At 51.1% G+C, this 21,451-nt stretch overlaps 1 protein-coding gene across 6 annotated transcripts in view, besides 7 other annotated features; it reads right to left on the bottom strand.

The window, feature by feature from the left end:
- Positions 1-17,148, bottom strand: part of TSPAN9 (tetraspanin 9) — a 209,181-nt gene extending 192,033 nt beyond the window's left edge. For 5 of the 6 annotated variants that reach the window (XM_047428125.1, XM_047428128.1, XM_047428127.1 and 2 more), the window contains exons 1-2: positions 17,074-17,148; positions 10,808-10,874 (exon numbers count right to left, since the gene is read on the bottom strand). The gene's annotated coding sequence lies outside the window, so the exon portion shown is untranslated. The remainder of the gene's footprint in view (positions 1-10,807; positions 10,875-17,073) is intronic. The other variant, NM_001168320.2, reaches the window with a different exon arrangement.
- Positions 8,490-8,784: an enhancer, noted in NCBI's record as "tiled region #10584; HepG2 Activating DNase matched - State 5:Enh". NCBI's record gives its function as "activates a minimal TATA promoter and a strong SV40 promoter by Sharpr-MPRA in HepG2 cells {active_cell/tissue: HepG2}" and the evidence as "EXISTENCE:reporter gene assay evidence [ECO:0000049][PMID:27701403]".
- Positions 9,501-10,175: an enhancer, noted in NCBI's record as "H3K27ac-H3K4me1 hESC enhancer chr12:3193518-3194192 (GRCh37/hg19 assembly coordinates)". NCBI's record gives its function as "activates a minimal SCP1, AML or CMV promoter by ChIP-STARR-seq in naive and primed H9 embryonic stem cells {active_cell/tissue: H9 hESC(naive and primed)}" and the evidence as "EXISTENCE:reporter gene assay evidence [ECO:0000049][PMID:30033119]".
- Positions 10,176-10,851: an enhancer, noted in NCBI's record as "H3K27ac-H3K4me1 hESC enhancer chr12:3192842-3193517 (GRCh37/hg19 assembly coordinates)". NCBI's record gives its function as "activates a minimal SCP1, AML or CMV promoter by ChIP-STARR-seq in naive H9 embryonic stem cells {active_cell/tissue: H9 hESC(naive)}" and the evidence as "EXISTENCE:reporter gene assay evidence [ECO:0000049][PMID:30033119]".
- Positions 17,043-17,542: a silencer, noted in NCBI's record as "silent region_4139". NCBI's record gives its function as "represses an Ori minimal core promoter by ATAC-STARR-seq in GM12878 lymphoblastoid cells {active_cell/tissue: GM12878}" and the evidence as "EXISTENCE:reporter gene assay evidence [ECO:0000049][PMID:35858748]".
- Positions 17,593-17,642: a silencer, noted in NCBI's record as "silent region_4138". NCBI's record gives its function as "represses an Ori minimal core promoter by ATAC-STARR-seq in GM12878 lymphoblastoid cells {active_cell/tissue: GM12878}" and the evidence as "EXISTENCE:reporter gene assay evidence [ECO:0000049][PMID:35858748]".
- Positions 20,790-21,084: an enhancer, noted in NCBI's record as "tiled region #13344; K562 Activating DNase matched - State 12:CtcfO". NCBI's record gives its function as "activates a minimal TATA promoter and a strong SV40 promoter by Sharpr-MPRA in K562 cells {active_cell/tissue: K562}" and the evidence as "EXISTENCE:reporter gene assay evidence [ECO:0000049][PMID:27701403]".
- Positions 20,859-21,008: a silencer, noted in NCBI's record as "silent region_4137". NCBI's record gives its function as "represses an Ori minimal core promoter by ATAC-STARR-seq in GM12878 lymphoblastoid cells {active_cell/tissue: GM12878}" and the evidence as "EXISTENCE:reporter gene assay evidence [ECO:0000049][PMID:35858748]".

The following is a 21,451-nucleotide window of genomic DNA, read 5'->3' as shown; positions in this document are numbered from 1 at the left end:
CAACAAGATAATTGATTTAAAACAACCACCCAAAAAAACAGATATTCCCTTAGGTGTTTCTTTAAAGCCACGCCATCATCCTATGAATGCCTATGAGGACTGCTTGGCAATAATTTTCTTGGAGAGGCATGGGGAGGTCCCTGGAGTCTTCTGCTCTGCTGCAGTTTCCACAGAAAGAAAAGGTTTGGGAATTTCTCTAATAGAGGCAATGTTGGGAAGGTGCGCAAAGAAAGCAGGAATCTAGGGGTGGCTTGACCCTACCTCTTAGATTTCATCTCCAAAAGGCCATGCTGATCTCCTGCCACGGCTAGAAACAGGAAGCCTCTCCAAGAGGCTGTGGCATTTTAAGAGAAGACTCCTGGGCTGGGCGTGGTGGCTCACTCATGCCTATAATCCCAACACTTTGGGAGGCAGAAGCAAAAGAACCCCTTAAGGCCAGGAGTTCAAGACCAGCCTGGGCAACATAGTGCGACCCCATCTCTACAAATAAATAATAATTAGTCAATCATGGTGTTGCACATCTGTGGTCCCAACTACTCAGGAGGCTGAGGCAGGAGGATTGCTTGAGCCCAGGAGTTGGAGGCTGCAGTGAGCTATTATTGCGCTACTGCACTTCAGCGTGCATGACAGAGCGAGACCCTGTCTTTAAAAATAAATAAATAAGTACAAATTAACAATAAAACAAAGCAAATCAAGAGAAGACTCCTGAAAACCAAAGAGCCTCCAAAAGAACAAACATCTAACGGCAGGGGTTCCACCAGCTGGCCAAGCTAGTGAAGAGGCATTTTAAGGTAGGATGGGGTCTTTCCCTCAATCCCTCAAACTGTGATTGGCCTAGTTGAGTTTCTTTCCATAGCTGTAACTCACTATCCCCTTCCTATCTCCCATCAACAAATATCTGTTAAGGCCTACTCTGTGTCAGGCACTCTTCTAATGGGGGATCCATTCGATCTGCCCTCTGTTCCCTGCAACAGAAACTTGTGGCTGGTTGGAGGTGGCATGAGGTAGTCCGCAGCCCCCATCCACGTTCTGTAGCAGAATCAGGAACTGCAGCTGATGCCCTCCCCACAGACCTGAGGACACTCGGAGACTCACCAGCTTTTATGGGTGAGCTGGAGACCAGACCCTACCTCTCCACTTTTCTTCCTGTGGTCAAATTCACCTTCTCCCTTGCCCCAGAATCAGGATGGGGGGCTCACACTCAAGATCCCTACTGCCCCCCACGCCTGGCCCCCAAAGACAGGGTCAAGTCCATCTACTTCGGCTGATGGGCACAGCACAACCAAAGCCAGCTGGAAGGTGGGCCCAGGAAACCAGACTGCCATCCCATCTCCCAGAACTGGGGGCAATTCTGTGGCTTCCCTTCTTGGCCTAAGTGTGTCCCACAATTCGTGTCAGCATCCCAAAGGCCAGCGGCCCCAAAAGCTTTCCCAGAGAAGACAATGTGTATGATTCAGGACAACGCCAGGACTCTGAATGCTTTCCGTGTTCCAGGTTCAATCTGAACATCAGAACGTGAGCTCCTCGCAGGAAGAGGCCCAGCCTGCAGTGTCCAGGCCAAGAGCAGGCTGGAAGCACTCGCCAGCTCCCCCAGCCCTGGGCGTGGTGGCAGGGAGGCCTGCCTACTCATTTCTAACCTCCCTCTCAGCCAGTTGACTGCGGCCTCTCTGGGAAAGCCACACACTGGTTCCAAAGATGTTGCTACTGTGCTCCTGAAGAACAATCCTCAGCGCCCAGGGAGTCCACTGAGCATCCTCAGGGAAGGACCATCCTTGTCCTTACGGGGACATCCAATGTGCCAAACAACTGAGACCCATTTGGATAAGCAGTGGGTAAGGTGGATGATGAAAGTGGGTAGCGTCATTTTTTATGTCAAATTAGGTGTGTCCATACAGCAGTGAGAGCTCCCTGCTGAGTCAAGGCAGGCATCTCCTCTCAGGGGGCTCTGGCTGTATCTGTAGCAATCTTATCCCTTCCTACTTGTCTTGCTGCCTTCAGAGCCCACTCCTGGGTGTTATAGGTGCTGCAGGACTGGGCCCTCGGGAACTATGAGGGAACTGGGTAAAACAGAAATAGACATTTGTAGCCATGAGCAGAAAGAGCTGGGGACTGACCTAACTTTACACTTGGCTAAAGCTCTCTTATCACACGGAGCACCTGGGCCAAAAGATGCCTCAGACCCTTGAGGAATCAAAGCACACAGTAACGACTTACTGATTCACTGACAGTATGACTTGAATCCATCCTCACAGCCATGGAGAACAAGTAACGGAGGGGTGGAGTGGGGACCTGAGCAGAGAACTAAGGAGTCAGGGAGGGCCTGGCAGGTCTCCGCTTCTGGGGAATTTACCTGCTACAGGCCTCAAGCTAGCGAGCCCTCAGTTGGAGCAGGCTGAGGAGCTCTATCCAGTTTTTTCCAATTCTATGGCCAAAAGCAGTTGCTGAGGTTTCTTTTCTTGTCCGTGATGCCAGATTTCTCAAAGGTTTGCACAGTCAGCATTGCATGTTTTTGTCAACACTGAGCACTGATTAATATAAAACCTGTGAGCTGATCAGCTCATTAACCCTGCAACAGGAGCACAATGCTGGCACCCCCAAGTCACCCAGAGGCACTGGGAGCTCCCAAGGGTGCTGCAGTGCTAGGCCATACTCCCTCCTCCAACACAGTCTTCAGCAACTCCTCTCCCACAGCACAGTTGAAGAGGCCAGGCCAGAGGCGGAGTTGTGGAGGTGCAGAATGCTTTCACAGTGAACCTTTTTCAGCTACAAAACATTTCTTTACTAAAAGCTGCTGAGGGGGAGCAGGGAGACAATAAAACACCAAGGGGATTTCAAACGCGTTAAGCCCACTCTGCCTTTGTTCTTATTTGATGAATGCAAAAACCACCCAGCAGTTGACAGGCAAAAGAACACTGCTGCACGAGAAAGTGCATTTCATCAGGTCCAGCCTCGGATCTCCAGGGAGAGGTAAGTTTGATGAATGATTGGTGCTGGGGAGAACTCTTCCACCAGCAGCTCCACTGTAGCATCCTCTAAGCTGGGGTTTGGGGATGCATTAATGACCCATCACTGGCTCTTCCCCTGCCTCCTCCTGCCTCCCTGCCATTGGTGACATTTCACAGGAAGGGAACAGCCACTAAGGCAGGTGATGAGAAAACTAAATATAAAAACGAACACCTTGCGGGAAGTCACGGTGTCGAGTCCATTGTGAGTTGCTTGAGAAGGAAAAGTGAAGTCTGTGAATCACATAGGCCTGGGCCCTCTTATTTCATATCCGAGGTTATGAGCGGATGCGGAGGAAGCCTGGAGCGTAGTGGTTGGCAAATGAATGAATAAAATCCCAGCAGACGCCTGGGCCTGGAAGGCCGGACTAGCTTTGTTAAAGACCTGTCGCTCACTGACACATTTTTCAGAGATGCCATGAAAATCAGCAGGGAGTACCAAGAAGACAAGCTCTTGGCAGCTTGCAGAGGGCAGGAAGGTTTGACTTCTACAGCTCTCAGAGCCATAGGGCAGGAGACACTGTCTACTACAAAGTCCAAGCCTCTGCCAGCGCTAGCCGCGTGCACACACACAACACACTGACTCCACTTCAAAGGACACCCAACATGAAGATCGAGTGTTTGCCAGTTTCCCTGGATGACCCATCTGGGGATGAACAGTGATCTGGGAGGAGAAGGGGTCTGCACTATCTTCCAAAGATCGGTGGGGTCTATTCCTCATTATCTCTGCGGTCTATTCCTCATTATTCCTCATTACCTGTGGGGTCTATTCCTCATGCTTCTGGGCACAGGGAGGGATCGCACGTCCGCGTCCTCCCCACCTGGAACACACATACCCTCCTTGTGCCGTGGCCAGCCTTCCCACCAAGAGGTGGAGTCTGCCCGCCCCTGGAGTTCTGCTGGTCCCATGACTTGCTGTTACCAGCAATCAACAGACAATGCGTGTGTGAGGCTTCAGGGCCTAGATATTAAGAGGTCTTGTAGACTGTTTTCACCTGAAAGGCTAGTTTCCTTGACAGTGAGAAACCACGTAGCAGGGGAGCCCAGCTGACAGCCAGCACCAACCACCGGATATATGATGAAGCTTCCTTGAGCTGTCCAGGGCCTGCAGAGCTACCAGCTGACTGCTACCGCATTAATAAGCCCAGGCAAGACTGCAGAGACCAGCCCAAAAGGCTAACCCGTAGAACTGGAAGCAAAGAAAATGGTGTTTGTGTTAATCCACTATATTTTGGGGTGGTCTATGCAGCATAGACCTCAGTGATGAATGGAACAAAATCCATTCAGCAAGTCTGCGCCAACTACGGAAAAGAATAAGGTTGTTCTGAATGTACTGATGTGAAAAGATGCCTAAAGAACGGGCAAAACAGTAAGTTGAATTCAATTCTATTTATGGAAATTGAGAAGATAAATAGGTGGACGGCTGGATGCTAGTCTATCCAGAAATATCTGGAAATAATACAAACCAAAGTATTAACAGTGATTATCTCTGATGGGTAGGATTAGGGGAGATTTTCCTCTTCTATAATTTATGTAATGTTTGGATATTATAATGAGTTTTTATTATTTTGCAACAAAAAAAAGGATGCTTTTATTTTATTTATTTATTTATTTATTTTGAGACAGGATCTCACTCTGTTGCCCAGGCTGGAGTACAGCGGCGTGATCACAGCTCACTGTAGCCTCAAACTCCTGGGATCAGGCAACCCTCCCACCTCAGCCTCCCGAGTGGCTGGGACTACAGGTATGCATGCCTGGCTACGTTTTTTAATTTTTTGTAGAGTCAGGATCTTGCTATGTTGCCCAGGCTGGTCTCAAACTCCTGAGCTCAACTGATCCTCCCACCTCGGCCCCCCAGAGTGCTGGGAGTACAGGCATAAGCTACCACACCCAGCCAAAAGGATGCTTTTTAAAAAAAAATTCACCTTGAGACCAGGCGCAGTGGCTCACACCTGTAATCCCAGCACTTTGGGAGGCCAAGGAGGGCGGATCACGAGGTCAGGAGATCGAGACCACCCTGGCCAACACGGTAAAACCCCGTCTCTACTAAAAATACAAAAATTAGCCAGGCGTGGTGGCACATGCCTGTAATCCCAGCTACTCGGGAGGCTGAGGCAGGAGAATCGCTTGAACTAGGGAGTGGGAGGTTGCAGTGAGCCAAGATCACGCCACTGCACTCCAGCCTGGGGGACAGAACAAGACTTGTCTCAAAAAAAAAAAAAAAATTCACCTTGAATTCTGCTACAATCTAATTTTTCCTATAATGTCCCTTTTCTTTTTTTTTTTCTTTTTTGAGATGGAGTCTCGCTCTGTCACCCAGGCTGGAGTGCAGTGGCGCGATCTCAGCTCACTGCAAGCTCCACCTCCCAGGTTCATGCCATTCTCCTGCCTCAGCCTCCCGAGTGGCTGGGACTACAGGCGCCCGCCACCACGCCCGGCTAATTTTTTGCATTTTTAGTACAGATGGGGTTTCACCGTGTTAGCCAGGATGATCTCGATCTCCTGACCTCGTGATCCGCCTGCATCGGCCTCCCAAAGTGCTGGGATTACAGGCGTGAGCCATCACACCCAGCCTATAGTGTCCCTTTTCATCCTGTCATTCCACTGTTCAAAGACCAACACTGGCTCCCACCACCAGCCTCCCGCGCCTGAGCTGCTCCAAGCAGTATGTCAGGTGCCCCAGACAGAACAGCTCACCCTCTCCTGCAGGCCACACCTGTCCCCACCCCAACCAAGCTCCCAGCCAGCATTACAACCCCTCAGAGACCCTTCTCTTCCCTCCCTAAATCCCAGCCCTCCCTCAAGGCCCAGCCTGATCCCCTCTGAGTTTCTCAAATGGATGCCAAGAAAAAGTTCCACCAACCCTGCCCTGAATTGCATGGTCTCCAGTGTTCTCCCTGCACTGCGGGCACGAACTGCTCCGTCCAGGAGACCTTCACAGACCACCAGCTCCAGCTTCTCTGGCCAACAGTGGGGGCAGGCTGAGCCAAGACAGGTTGTTCCAGCCCCCTCCCCTCTCTGCCGGCCACAGCCTGGATGATGGGTGACAGCCAGGCCTGGAGCTTCCCCCCCAGCCCCACCCATCCCCAGCAGCAAGTCAGTGGAAGCCAATTTGAAATGGCTGCTAATTTGGAGTGACTCACACCATGGGTGATGCTGTAAGCGCCTCCAGGTCCCACATGCTGCAGACAGCACTCAAAATGGTCGAACAAATCCAAACTCTGGCTTCAAACCTAATTGTTTTCCTGGGGGACCCAATGGCTCTTCCTCACTCAGGTCTTTGCAATCTGCATGTCCAGTTTTTAAACAAAGCTGTTTAGAATCTCCCAGGATTAAGACAAGTGGAAAATTGCAAGCCCAGACCTCTACCTCATTTTCTCTAAAACAAAACATGTCATCCTGCATGTTCACACACCCGGAAAGACACAGTTCATTCAAACTCAGCTGGGCACCCTGCCCCTCTGAGCCCTCCTGTAGAGCCTGGCCCTGAGACGGGGCTGGGGACTTGCTGAGGCAGGATCTTCTCCTACTGTCCCTGGCACTGCCACCCTCAGGGCTTGTCGGAGAGCTTTGGGCCCCTAAGCCTCAGTCTCCACACTGGCAGGTGGCCAGGGGAGAGGCCGTCAGCAGGGTTCCCAGGTACCGTGTCCAGGTTTTACCCTGCCATCTAAGGGGAAGGCACTCACATCACAGGTATATACTGACATTTTTTTTTTTCCAAGATGGAGTCTTGGCTCTGTTGCCCAGGCTGGAGTGCAGTGGCCAATATTGGCTCACTGCAACCTCCGCCTCCCAGATTCAAGCAATTCTCCTGCCTCAGCCTCCCGAGTATCTGGTATTACAGGTGCGCACCACCAAGCCCGGCTAATTTTTGTATTTTTAGTAGAGATGGGGTTTCACCATGTTGGCCAAGCTGATCTCGAACTCTCGACCTCATGATTTGCCTGCCTTGGCTTTCCAAAGCGCTGGCATTACAGGTGTGAGTCACCATGCCCGGACCCTTTTCTTCTTGAGACAGGGTCTCACTCTGTCACCCAGCCCGGAGTGCAGTGGTACGATCATGGCTCACTACAGCCTCAACTTTCTGGGCTTAAGCAATCCTCCTGCCTCAGCCTCCTGAGTAGCTGGGACTACAGGCACACACTGATTACCACACCTGACTAATTTTTTTTTCTATTCTTATTAGAGACGAGGTCTCACTATGTTGTCCAGGCTGGTCTCAAGCAATGCTCCCGCCTTGGCCTCCGAAAGTGCTGGGCCTACAGATGACAGCCACTGTGTCTGGCCTATACTGATCTATTGAGAGTGCACACGTGGGCCCCTCCACTGAGTGCCAAAACAATGCAGAGTGCCCTCCCACACAAACCCATGCAAGCACACCCAACACACATGTAAGGCAAGTGTGCACATAGTCACTAACACCCACACATGTGCATGGCTGCACCCTGTTTCAATCTTGCTCTGAGAATCCCTCCCACCCCAGCTCACTTCCCTCACCTGTTCACTGTCCTCAGAGGCCCTCTCCCTGACTCTGAACCTGACACATTCCCCACATTGCAAGGGGAGGGACCAGACTGTGTGTGTTTCCAGCAACATGTGCACCCCATGATTGGAGGCGGCGTGCCTCCAAGTGTGCGCACAGCCAGGGTCACTGCCCACGAGGGCTCAAGGGGGTTGCCTCAGACACAGTTGGACCTTGTTCCAGCTGTACAATAATATATTCACTTTAATTTTTGCTTGTAACCTGAAGAAGGGCCATTTTTCAAATTTCGCACAAACGTGCTGTGAGAGTTAGCAGCAATCCTAAGCTACTAAGGCCAAGGCCAAGGCCTCACCAAGATCCTGTACCCCAAAGGCCACAAGACCCTCCAGCCTTCCTGCAATAACAGCAAAGCCTCTCCAGCAGGTGGGAGGATTTCAGGGGGCACTTACTGAGCTTCCTGACTCTTCGGACCCCCTGGACTGCTCTCTACCAGATCTTTTCCTGTTCCTAACACAAGATCAGATGTTCTAAAAATGATGACCATTGAGAGTAGAAATGGTCACAAGACTCTCAGAAAGTGAGTGAATATTCAAAGTATCATCAATTTCCAGCCATCCACTGTGAGGGAGCCTGAGAGAAAACAGAGGGCGGAAGGGGTGTGGTAAATCAAAGCACAGATAATACTAAACAATAGGCCAAAAAAAAAAAAAAATCTACATTTGGCTCCAAAGTATCGGGTTGAAATGCAGATAGGATCGTGCTCCCAACTCCAGATGCCAGCAAAGGGGTTCTTCTATCTCCTTCCCATTCTGAAGAGCACCCTCCTGGTTCAGGCTAAAATTCTGGTTACACTTTTGGTTTGAGAGCAAGGAGAGAGTTTGGAAGCTAACCTGCTCCAGGCAGATATTCTCATTTCGTTATGCTGTGGCTATGATTGAAGTTGAAATGATTAACATGCAGGGCTGGAGTCCAGCAATGGAGGCTTACTCCTCACTGCCTCAGGCACGGGCACGAAGAAGAGAGTTTAAACCAAATCAACAGCAGAGCCGTCTACACAGGACAGAAGTCAGGCAGTAGGACCCCGCCACTCGCCACTCACGGGGCAGGGGACCATCTCCGCAAACAACTTCCACCCCCAGTCCGCTCCTATCAGAAGTCAGCATCTCCAGTTTACTCATTAACTTCACTCTTTCCTCCTCCATCCACCTCCAGGTCAGAGGCCGGGAAGGCACTAGTCAGAGGCAGAAGGCAGGCCCAGGACTGGAAGCCAAAACCCAGGCATACCAACTCATCCCACCTCAGAAACCACCTCCAGCAGAGCCAGAAAGAACCTTGGCAGTGGGTCACCCAACCTGCCGCTTTGTAGGTGAGGAAAATGGCCTGAAGAAGCCAATCGACTTGCCCAAGTTCGCACAGCAGTTACAGGTAGGAGCAGGAGCCAGGACAAGAACCTCCCACCCCAGAGCTGGTCAACATCCCAGAGCATGGCTCCAGAGCATGACGAGAAATGCAAAACCAAAGCCCCCTGGAGCCACAGCCATCAGAGAGGATCAACGTCCTGTCTGCTGAGGCCTCCACTCACATCTCCCTCACTTGGGTTTCAACGCAGATGCACAGAGGAAAGACGGTCATCTAGATAGACACGGCTGGTGACGTCAGGGGCTATCTGTGTCTCCCCAAGGCCATACAGGCCTCCTGGGGAGCCCTTCACCAAGTTCTGTCTGGCAGGGCCCACCAGGAACAGGCCCCACGGGATGTGGGGGACATGCCGCACAGCAGGACGGTCATTCCCTTGTCCTTAAGTCCTTCCCTCTCTGCCGCCCGGTCTTTTTTTTTTTTTAATAGGGACAAAGTTTCACTATATTGCCCAGTCTAGTCTTGAACTCCTGCCTCAGCCTCCCAAAGCACAGGGATTCCAGGCGTGAGCCACTGCACCTGGACGGTTACTGCCTGATCTTCACCAGACTGATTTTCCTCCACCCAAGCCCATGTGCCTAGCGGCACTGCACCATCCAGTGATACGCGGTGCCTCAAATCCCAGAGCTGCAAGAATGAAAGCAGACACCCATCCGGGCCCCAGGGAGGCGGGAGGAGGACTTAAAATGGGAGCTCAGGCATTCCTGCCACAAGCAGGCTCAGGGAGGGACCTGGAGCGGATTCCCAGAGTCAGTTAAGAACAGCCGCAGGTCTGCATTAGAAAAGGCAGGCGCTGCAGGGTCATAGCATCTGGGCTGGAGCCCCTGCTCCGGCTAACACTATGTGGGCCTTACCTGCTGCCGCTGGTAAAGGAGGAGGACATGACAGCTACCCCACGGGGCCTTTGTGAAAGTTAAATGAGATTTAAATTATAACTTCATCTGATTAAGTTAAATTGGTTGTGGACATTTGTAAAGGGTCTAAAACTGAGTCTGATCATGATGACAAATATGAATACTGGCATCCTAAGTATAACGTGCAAGGCATGGCAGGACAATAAGAGGTTCCTGGCCACTCTTGGGACACCAAATAATCCCTGCTGGAACTCACAGACAAGAGAATCTTTGGCAAGATGAGCCACCAGCCAGCACCATTCCACCCCCTCTCCCTGCTCCACCGACTACACCATTGGGTTCAGGGAAGGTAAGATTTTACAAATCACCCAGCAGGGAGAAGCCGCAGGAGAAAACACACATAAATTAAACATAAAAAGGCCCAGGTCAGTAAACAGCACCCCAAGGGAACCTGAATCAGCACCGTCCACCCCCACTGTCTGGCTGCCTGGTCTGTAGTCTGGCACAGCGGAGGCCTCGATGCACAAGTGCTAGGAACAATGAACAAACCATCAGCAAGACCCCCAGGAGCCTGGAGGATCAGGGAAGAGGGCCCCGTAGGGGTCCTGGTGGAGGGCGGTGGGCAGAGCAAAATGGAGACACTAAGGACTGGCCAGGACTCCTGCATCTTCTCTTCTGGCCTGTTGTGGGAGGCCCCTCCACCCTGGCTCCCAAGCCTGCTGGGAGGAGACAGGAAGCAGGAAGTTACAGGCCTCTCCCTAGGCTTCCTCCACACAAATGGGGTGGCCAAGAAAGAATCTAAGAGTACCATCAGCCACCAATCAGAAACAGTGGGGAGGAGATCATTCTTGCCTGGCCCCCAAAGCCCAATTTAAGGAGCTTAGAAAATCAAAGCCAGGAGTCAGGGCACGACAACTAGAAAATGTCAGCATCCTCTTCTATCCTGCCCAACCCACAGTTAAAGGGCAAGAAAGACCTTGACTTCAGACAGAGGTTATAACACACAGACGTTCAGAGGCCCTACCCCACAATGGACCCGGACCAACACTGACCTGTTCTCTCTGAACTTCCTGGAAACACCTTGGCTGCTGACAAACAAAAGAAGGTTCCAGGATATTCCTGCAGGAAGGCAAAAAATTAGGTCATCACTTTGGTAAGAAGCCACTCCAGGGTGAATTCTGTCCATCAAGGACCACTCTTTGGGGCAGCAGTCCCCTACCAAGAAACTGCTCACTCAACAAATGGAGAAAGCCAGAAATGGCAAACAGGAAGGCAGTGTGCTAATGCCACTCAGTTGGCGGTGGGTACCCAAGGCATTATGAGCAGAACCCAAGCCCTGGCCCAGCAGAAAAGACAGCTGCGATTGATTAGTGATGTCTGCCACGGGCAGTTACAGAAGTAACAGAATCCTCACCATGTATTTGTCATCCCTGGGGTAGACCTTTGTCATCCAAGGATTTAATATTACAATTTTGGCCACTCACAAGTGACCCAAAGTTTCAAGATATGTAAAAGTGTGTAAACTCACTGAGATGTGTTTGCATCGCGTACGCTATGAGGTCAATATAAAGGAAAGGGCCACCTTGTTGTTTTCATCTCTACCACATTCAAAGTTACTCTTATGGAGCAATAAAAACTTGGTGGAAAATGGCCATCAAGTGAGAAATAAAACTGCAGCAGAAACTGAAAGGGCAGTTAACTTGGGGTGTGAGGATATATACAGGAAACATTTGACTCTGCAGAAACATGACTCCGGAGAAAGCCAGGCCCATGAACAAATATTGCTGTGGATACAAATTTGGGATGCCAGAAAGTGCAAGCTTCATTTCTTGAGATCGTGAGGGGTCCACTGTGCCTACTCTGTTCTGTGCCTCACAGCAGTGATTTCAGGGTCAAGGAGAACATCAGAGGGAATTAGAATCCATGCCCTGAAGGGGCTTGCAATCTAGTTGACGAAACAATGCCTACCGGAAACAGCAAATGGCATTGCATTTTCACAATCACCCAGCACAGAATCAGCTTCAATCCCCCTTCAACTTCATCCTTTCCTCACCTCCCCATCCAATCAAGTTACAAATGATCCTGATCCTACTTCCAAAATGTCTCAGGTTCATTGCCTCCTCACCATCCCTCACAAGTGCCCAGCCACTCTCCCTACCATGACGTCCCCTCTTCACAGACCTCAGATTCACCCTCCTTAAGCCCAGCCCTGCTTCTCTTACCCTTGCTCAAAACCTGCAAACTTCCCAGGGCCTCCCAAGGTTGATGGCTATCTCCACAGCACCAGTTTAATGCTGGCACACGGTGGGCACTCAAGTTCTCTTGGAAGAATGAATGGACAGATAAAGTTCTTGGCTGGTGATTTGAAGGCCACACACAATACAGCTGTTGTCTACCTGCCCAACCTCTCCTCCATGGCTTCCCTGCACACATGCCACACCTGGCCCACCTGCACCATTCACAAGCACCATTCAACTTTCTCAGTGCCTAGCCCCAGGCTGATCCTTCCTCCTTCTGTTGAAATGCAAGCTCCCCTCCGGGGTTCATGTCCACCACCACTTGCTGCATGCAATGGTGCTCCTCAATCAAGGTGACTGAACTGTTTCAACCCACATAACATTCTGCTCTCAGAAGCCATTCGCCTTGTCCTTTGAACTGTCATCTTTCGAGCCCATTTCTCAACTCTTTACTGGCTTATAAGCCCCATGAAGATAAGGACGTTTATCTTTTTTATTTTTGCAGCATCAGAACTTAGCACAGACTTTTTTTTTTAAGAGACAGAATTCTCGCTCTGTTACTCAGCCTGGAGTGCAGTGACACAATCATGGCTCACTGAAGCCTCGAACTCCTGAACTCAAGCGATCCTTCCACCTCCAGCTGGGACCATAGGTCCACAGGTGTGTACCACCACACCTGGCATATATATACACACACAGACACACACACACACACACACACACACAATTTTTTAGATACAGAGGCCTCACTATGTTGCCCAGGGTGGTCTCAAATCCCTGGGCTCAAGTGATCCTCCCACATCAGCTTCCCAAAATACTGGGATTACAGATGTGAGGCACCGCATCCAGCCCAGCACAGACTCTTATACATGTGACACATACACTGTTTGTGGAGTTCACTAGAGAACCACCCAAGGAAGTATATAAAGGCCAGGAGCAAAATGAAGACAGAAAATGCCACCGGGGTTCCCAGGAAAAAGAGGTTCATTTGGGATGGGATGCCAGGGTCTTGAGAGGAGCTCAGACATGAGAAAGGTCTTGAAAGAGGAGAGGGATGGAAGAACCAACCAGGAAGGTGGAAGAGGATGAACTAAGGGGCCAAGAAGGAACGCGCAAAGCATGCTTGGGAGATAAGTCTGGCTAGAACCAAGGGTTCCAGGAGGGAGGAGAGTGGCGATAAGGCTAGACAGGCAGGATGCTGAATGCCAGGCGAATGCACCGGGATTAGATCCACTCCCTCTTAGTCAGTGAGGATGACAACCACTGCAGGCTGGGCCCTCACGGCAGAGAAAAGAAGTCTTGTCCTCTCTTGTTCCAAGCATCTTAGTCCAGTCTCCTCCACGAGGTTATAAATAACAGCCACCGTTTACTGCACACCTGCTGTATATGAGGCCCTGAGCTACGTGCCTCACATACATCAGCTCATGGCTCCTTCCCAACACCCTGAGTACTTGGTATTGTTATCCTCATTTTGCAAGCAAGGAGCTGAGACTAAAGGAGGTGAAGGCATCCGCCCAAGTCCCAACCCACTCACTCATTCACTTAACAGTGCTGGCTGGCCCTGGGGTTACAGGCCTGCGAAAAGGGGGCACTCCCTCCAGCCACCCCAGGTTCAAGGGCTTCCCACCTAAGCTGGGCTGCTTCTCCACAACTCTCCCGATTAATTCCTCAAGGTCAGCATTTACTAAGCACACAGCAGGAGCTTAATAAAGCACACTAAACAGACAGAATAGTGGCTGCCAGAGGCTGGGAGGAGGGGGAAACAGTTGTTTCAAGAATATTAAAGCTTCAGTTTTACAAGGTAATTTCTGGAGCTGTCGCACAACAATGTAAATAGACTTAATGCTACTGAACTGTACATTTAAGAATGGTTAAAATGTACACTTAAGATTTTACATTTGCCAGGCGCGGTGGCTCATGCTTGTAATCCCAGCACTTTTTGGGGCCGAGGAGGGTGGATCATGAGGTCAGGAGTTCAAGACCAGCCTGGCCAACATGGTGAAACCCCGTCTCTACTAAAAAAAATACAAAATTTAGCCGAGGGTGATGGCGGGCGCCTGTAGTCCCAGCTACTGGGGAGGCTGAGGCAGAGAATTGCTTGAACCCGGGAGGCGGAGGTTGCAGTGAGCTGTGATTATGCCACTGCACTCCAGCCTGGGCGACAGAGTGAGACTCCATCTCAAAAACAACAACAACAAAAAAAAGATTTTACATTCAGTGTTTTTTTAACCACAATTTTAGAATTTTTTATATAAAGCACACTTCCTAATTGATTGAGTGGCTGCCAATATCTTACACTGTTAATTATCTGATGCTGGAAGAGACTCTAGAATATTTCTAATCCAATATACCACCAAAACAGAGAGTTGGAAAGAGGAGGTAAATTGCCCAAGGTTGCACAAATAGGTGGTGCCAGGTGAAGACAAGGCTCAACATAGAGGAAAGGGGCTGGGCGTGGTGGCTCACGCCTGTAATCCCAACACTTTGGGAGGCCAAGGTAGGAGAATTGCTTGAGGCCAGGAGTTCAAGACCAGAGACCAGCCTGGGCAACATAGCACAACCCTGTCTCTACCAAAAAAAAAAAAAAAATTTTTTTAATTATCTGAGCATGGGGCCTGTACCTATAGTCCCAGCTACTCGGGAGGCTAAGGTGGGAGGATCACTTGAGCCCAGGAGTTGGAGGCTGCAGTGAGCTGCTTGTGTCCCTGTGCTCCAGCCCAGGCAACAAAGCAAGACCCTGTCTCTAAAAAAAAAAAAAAAAAATAGAAGAAGGGGCTAAGTACGGTGGTTCATGCCTGTAATCCCAGCACTTTGGGAGGCCAAGGCAGGCGGATCACCTGAGGTCAGGAGTTTGAGACCAGTCTGGCCAACATGGCGAAACTCCATCTCTACTAAAAATACAAAAATTAGCCAGGTGTGGTGGCGGGCACCTGTAATCCCAGTTACTTGGGAGGTTGAGGCAGGAGAATCACTTGAACCCAGTAGGCAGAGGTTGCAGTGAGCCGAGATAGTGCCATCGCACTCCAGCCTGGGCAACAAAAGCAAAAGTCTGTCTCAGAAAAAAATAAATAAATAAAATAGAAGAAGGGCAGAGAGGCAGATGGCAGAATAGATGGCACAAGGCAGGAAGGTCAGAAGCCAGGGTTCAAGTTTTGCTTCTTTCACTTAATGAGTGTTGTGACCTTAGATAAGATACTTATTCTCTCTGAGTATCATTTTCTTAACCTATAAGAAGGCAATTAAAAGTAACAAACTTCAGCCAATGCGGTGGCTCACGCCTATAATCCCAGCACTGTGGGAGGCCAAGGCAGGTGGATCACTTGAGGTCAGGAGTTCAAGACCAGCCTGGTCAACATGGCAAAACCTCATCTCTACTAAAAATACAAAAATTAGAAGGCGTGGCGGCACGCGCCTGTAATCCCAGCTACTCGGGAGGCTGAGGCAGGAGAATGGCTTGAACCTGGGACGCGGGGGTTGCAGTGAGCTGAGATCCTGCCACTGCACTCCAGCCTGGGCAACAGAGTGAGACTCTGTCTCAAAAAAAAAAAAAAAAGTAACAAATTTCACAAGATTACGTATGAATTAAATAAAATTATATACAGCTAATGTAACGTGCATAGAAAAAACTTGGCCAACTATAAATTACTTTATCAACACTAGTTATTGTTATTAATATTAAATATCTGTTCATAGGTTTAAAAAGCTCTGCCAGAATATTAAAATCTGATTAAACCAGACCAAAAAAAAAAAAATCCTACTCTCACCTGTTCAGGGACTTGCACACAGGGCGTCTTCAGTGAGTGAGAGTAGAACTGAATTACACTTCAAGTTTTATCTACCCCAATCCTCTCCCTCCAACCCACAGCCCAGCTGCATCAGCCATGCCAGGACCAAGCCGAGGGTAGGAAGCCGGTGTAATTGTCTGCCTCTCTGGCTGCATTCCTTAGCTAAATATAAATGATTTGTCCAGGCTATTGTTTGAAATTATCCATAATCCCTCTCCTCCCCTCCCCATTACTTATGATGGCAAGCTGGCTGCGTATCTCTATAGCAAAGCATATATTCAACATTCTCTGTGGCTATTTTCAGTAAAGAGAAGGGAGCTGGCAGGTATATATAGGGATCCTCGCATGAGTCTTCAGTTTTCTCCACTAGTCCAGGAAAGCTTCCTGGAGGAGGAAATACCTGAGTCACCCCAGGGAAAAGGACAGCTGCAGGTCAGAAGGGCACGCGCACATAATGAGAGACTGGGTCTCTGAACTAAGAGTTACCAGGTAAGGCAGGTAAGCCCCTGCCTTCTTACCCCCCGTTTTGGTGATGCGAGAAAAAGGTAGCTCAGGGGATCCCATACTAGCCCAAGCTTCCCCAGACAAAACAGGCATTTGGGGGAAGATGAAGCAGTGACTCGTATATTTTTCAAAGAGGGAGGAGATCCAAGACTCCAGTTCCAAGATGTACAAGTACAAATATTGCTCTTACAACAACAAGCCGGTTTCTTGTTTGGATCTTTTTTTAAAAACCACAAGAAAGTTTTTTGAAGTCCCAAACTTGAATGCACAGATGGGCTAGATCTCCAACTTCGGGATGTGCCAGAGTCCTGTCACTCGGAGTGCTGATCTTCCAGCAGTGGCCCAGGGAGCGGTCGCGGGTGCCGGGGGGCTGCAGGCCATATCCCAGCCCTGCCCGAAGGCCCCCTGGCCCTCTCTGGGGTCCTTGTATGGACTGTCCCAAGCGGTGCACGGGGTCACACAGTCGGAAACCCTTGCCGGCCCCGGGTTACTCCCTTTCTGAAACGGTCTTCCTCGGAGCCATCCCCTGGAGGACCCCACTTCGCTCGGTGCCCGGGCCCCGCACCCACCCTCCCCTTCCCGGCCCGCTTCCCGCACGGCGCCTACTCTGTTCCTCGTCCTCTCGTCCCACCGCCGCCCTGCCCACACTGCCTCCCGTGGGCGCCCCCGGCCGCTCCCCCTTCTCGGGTCTCGGCCTGGGGGTGCCCAGCCCGCCCGGCGCCGGCTCAAGGCCGCGCGACTCCGCACGCTCTCGAGACCCGCCTCGCCGCCCGCCGCCCGGGCCGCACTCACCGCGCCCGCAGGACCTGGGGGTCTCCGCTCTGCTCGCGCTCCGGCACCGCCGCCGCCGCCGCCGCCAGCGGAAACAGGGGGCGGGGCCTGCCCGGGAATGGCGAGCCTGCGGGGCGGGGCGGCCCGGGGGCGGAGCGGGGAGGGGCGGGGCGGAGCGGGGAGGGGCGGGGCGGAGAAGGATCGCAGGGCTGAGCGGGGCGCCAGCGCCAGTGCCCGGCACTGCCCCGGGCTGGGTCCCCTGCGTTAGAGGAAGGGGAGCCCGGGGACGGGGCACGGGGCCCGCGAGGCACGGGTGCTCTCTCGGGGTTCCGGAAGCCTCCCTCCCCGCCCCGCCGCCCGCATGCCCGGACCGGCCGCTCCTCCGAGGTGCTATGATCCCGCCTTCCCCCTGCGGCGAACGGGCCTCTTCCCGGGGTAGGGGCGGGGAGGTCCGGGCCTGGCAGTGCGCTCTCCTGGGCTCTGCGCCCACACGGCACCCAAGGGCCTTCCTGGCCCAGGCCTCGGCTCTCTCCCTCGCGCCAGGCTGCCTGGCCTCGCCACCCCACCCCCACACCTACGAACCCCTTCCCTGGTGTTTCGGGCGGACTGTGCGAGATGCTGACAGCGCGGGTGTGTGTTGGAGCCTGCCTGAGACACCTCCCGCAGAAAGGGCCATGCCTCCCCAGGAGCTGGCGGCCTCCAAGGGCGACTACAGGGCACCGTGTGCCTGAGGGGTGCGCTAAGGCAGGAGAAACTCCAGCTAGGCATGTCTGGCCCGGGCGCTTTTTCAGGCCTGGATTTTATGTGTTTTTTGCTTTTTGTTTTGTTTTGTTTTTTCTTGAGACAAGGACTCACTCTGTTGCCCAGGCAGGAGTGCAGTGGTGCGATCACGGCTCACTGCAGCCTCGACTTCCCGGGCTCAAGTGATCCCGCCTCAGCCTCCAGAGTAGTTGGGACTGTAGGCGCGCACCACCACGTCCGGCGAAGTTTTTGATTTTTTTTGTACAGACGGTGGTCTCCCTGGGCCCAAGCTGGTCTCAAACTCCCGGGCTCAAGCCATCCTCCTGCCTCTGCCTCCCAAAGTGCTGGGATTATAGGCCCGGATTCTTAAAGCTAGAAGGCCTAAACTTGTTTCCAAAGAGCACTAAAACGCCATCTCTTCTCATCATTACTGTCATCAAAAATGTCTTCTAGGCCAGGTGTGGTGGCTCACGCGTGTAATCCCAGGACTTTGGGGGGCCCAGGTGGAAGGATTGCTTGAGCTCAGGAACTCAGGAATTCAAGAACAGCCTGGGCAACATAGGGAAACCCCATCTCAAAAAAAAAATGTTTTAATTAACCGGGTGTGGTGGCACACCCCTGTAGTCCCAGCTGCTCCGGAGGCTGAGGCTCAGGCGTTGGAGGCTGCAGTAAACTAGGATCATGCCACTGTACTCCAGCCTGGGCAGTAGAGGGAGACCCTGTCTTTAAAAGTGAAATTTTTTTAAATTTTAAAGAAACTGTATGCTGTGCTTCCCACGTGCCCTACCATTGCACTAAGCTTGACTGGGGACAAGTTTTTAAAACCTGGCTATAATCACTAGGGTCACTTTTGCTTTCTGCTAATTAGACTGGAAGTTTCCACTCATCTTCTGGGCCCCTTTCCGTCACACACATGCAACCTTGTTTTTGTCTATTAGACTAAACCCATAACCCATTTCCTTCTGATCTCCCTTTCCCCACAAGGAAAATATTCTCCTTCTACATTTTGCTTCATCCAAAGCCCTGTTCAATGCCCCTATAACAAAGTCTTCCCAAGGAACCCCCACCAGCCCCAATCTCTCCAGTCACTGCGGCAGAGTTGGGTACATGTACCCAGAAAAGGAAACTGGGTCTCAGACAGGGAAAGAGATATACTAGGATTGTCTGCCAGCAAGCCAACTCACTGGCAGACCATTGGACGCAGCCTGGTGAGGGAGTAGCCGCAGGGCTTGGGAGCCAGACACACCTGTCTGAATCCTGGCTCTGCTTTTATCGGCTGGGACCTCTTCAGGCCTGTTTTCTCACCTGTGGAATGGGGCATAAGAATACCAATTATGGGGATGGGCATGGTGGCTCACACCTGTAATCCCAGTACTTAGGGAGGCCGAGGCGGGTGGATTACCTGAGATCAGGAGTTTGAGACCAGCCTGGCCAACATGGTGAAACCCCGTCTCCACTAAAAATACAAAAATTAGCCGGGTGTGGTGGCACATGCCTGTAATCCCAGCTACTCGGAGGGCTGAGGCAGGAGAATTGCTTGAGCCTGGGAGACGGAGGTTGCAGTGAGCCAAGATCGTGCCACTGCACTCCAGCCTGGTCGACAGAGCGAGACTGTCTCAAAAAAAAAAAAAAAAAAAAACCAATTCCACAGGGTTGATGGGCTGACCAAGATGATGGAGTAAAAGCACAACATGTGATGTGTGGTGACTGCTCTACAAATGCTAGCTTCCTCCTGCCCTTTTTGGTTTTTGTTTTGTTTTGTTGTTTTTGAGACAGGGACTTGTTCTGCCACCCAGGCTGGAGGGCAGTGGTGCCATCATGGCTCACTGCAGCCTCCAACTCCTGGACTCAAGGATCCTCCAACCTCAGACTCCTAAGTAGCTGGGACCACACGTGCATGCCACCATACCCAGCTAATTGGGGTTTTTGTTTGTTTTGTTTTTGTTTTTGTTTTCGTTTTCGTTTTGTTTTGTAGAGACAGAGGCCTCACTATGTTGCTCAAGCTAGTTTTGAACTCCTGGCCTCAAGCAATCCTCCCACCTTGGCCTCCCAAAGTCCTCCTGCCCTTTAAAAAAAGATAGGCGGAGCACAGTGGCTCACACCTGTCATCCCAGCACTTTGGGAGGCCAAGGCAGGTGGATCACTCAAGCCCAGGAGTTCGAGACCAGCCTGGCCAACATGGCAAAACCCCATCTCTACTAAAAATACAAAAATTAGCCAGGTGTGCATGGGCGTGGTGGCACATGCCTGTACGGGAGGCTGAGGTGAGAGGATTGCTTGAGCCCAGGAGGTCAAGGCTGCAGTGAACCATGATTATACCACTGCTCTCCAGCCTGGGTGACAGAGTGAGACTCTGTCTCAAATTAATTAATTAATTAGAGCAAATCTGAAATAATGGAATTCTGAAGTCTTAGAGATAGATGAAATCTTAGAAGAAATCCCTCAGCAATAGCCCAGAAAATGGCTTCACTGCTCACTCTCCTTCACCACATTCAGAGGTGAATGCCTCAGTGCCTCTGAGGGGCTGACAGTTGGAAGGAAGCTCTGAAGAAAAGCTGTAGAGGAGATGGGATTATTCAGCATAAAGGACACAAAGGTGACTAGTGGTCTGTGAAGCAGACACACTGATAGTGTCCACTGAGGACTAAACGCAAGTAAACCTGACAATGACGCACCACCCTCTTGGGGAAGGGACTTACAAACGCATGAAGTCACTGCTTATCATACCAGGCTTCTGAGGAAATGTCATTGCATTTCCCTTCTGGAGGAGATTCTGAAAAATGCTGAGGTTAGATATAGGTAGGGTGACTGTATCCAGGTTTCGGGGGCACATCCTACTTACTCCTCTTGTCCTGGCATAGTTCCTAAGTCCCCTTTCACTCTCGAAATATCCTGGCGTGGATGATAAATTATATGCCATTTTAACTGTGAACAAAGGCAGGACTCCAAACAGCTCCTTCCAGGCCTGGATGTCAGCAACTCTGCTGGAATTTCTGGATCCCCAGGGACTTCAAAGGATAGCATGTCAGTTTATCCCCTTGAAATCACCAAATCAAATCAAAAATGACAATAGGCTAAAATTAAAGTCCCAGCCAACCACCCCAAGTCAAGCTTCAGGACTGTGCCTGCTGAATTGCGACACCTAGTGGCGAAAGTGCACGCTGCCGGAGCGGGGTTCCGCCAACACTTCACATTCGGCCATAGGTTTCAAGTGACTTGCAAAGCAGCTAACAGCTAACATGTACTGTTTATGTGCCAGGCACAGTTCTAAGTACTTTACATGTTCTAACCCACTGATCCTCACAACAACACCATGAGGTAGGTAGTAGCATCACCATCCCGACATTTTTACAGATGAGGAAACTGAGGCTGAGACAGGTTAAGTAATTTCTCCAAGGTCATTTCACCAGCAATTGACTAAGCTAGGATATAACCCCAGGTTGTCTGGCTGGAGGGCCTGCACAGTTAACTACTGCTCCATCCAGAGTGTAATGCACAAAGTTACTTCGGAGGAATCTTCCACCTGAAGAGACTTCCACCACCCCTCTGACATGGAGATGACCTGAGGGTAGAGTGAGAGGTAGAATGTATGAAGAGTTCCACTCTCGGCCAGGCGCAGTGGCTTATGCCTATAATCCCAGCACTTCGGGAGGCTGAG

Source organism: Homo sapiens, chromosome 12 (genome assembly GCF_000001405.40).
Source record: "Homo sapiens chromosome 12, GRCh38.p14 Primary Assembly".
NCBI lineage: Eukaryota > Metazoa > Chordata > Mammalia > Primates > Hominidae > Homo > Homo sapiens.
Note: the sequence above shows the minus strand (reverse complement) of the source record. Positions and strands in the feature narration are given on the sequence as shown.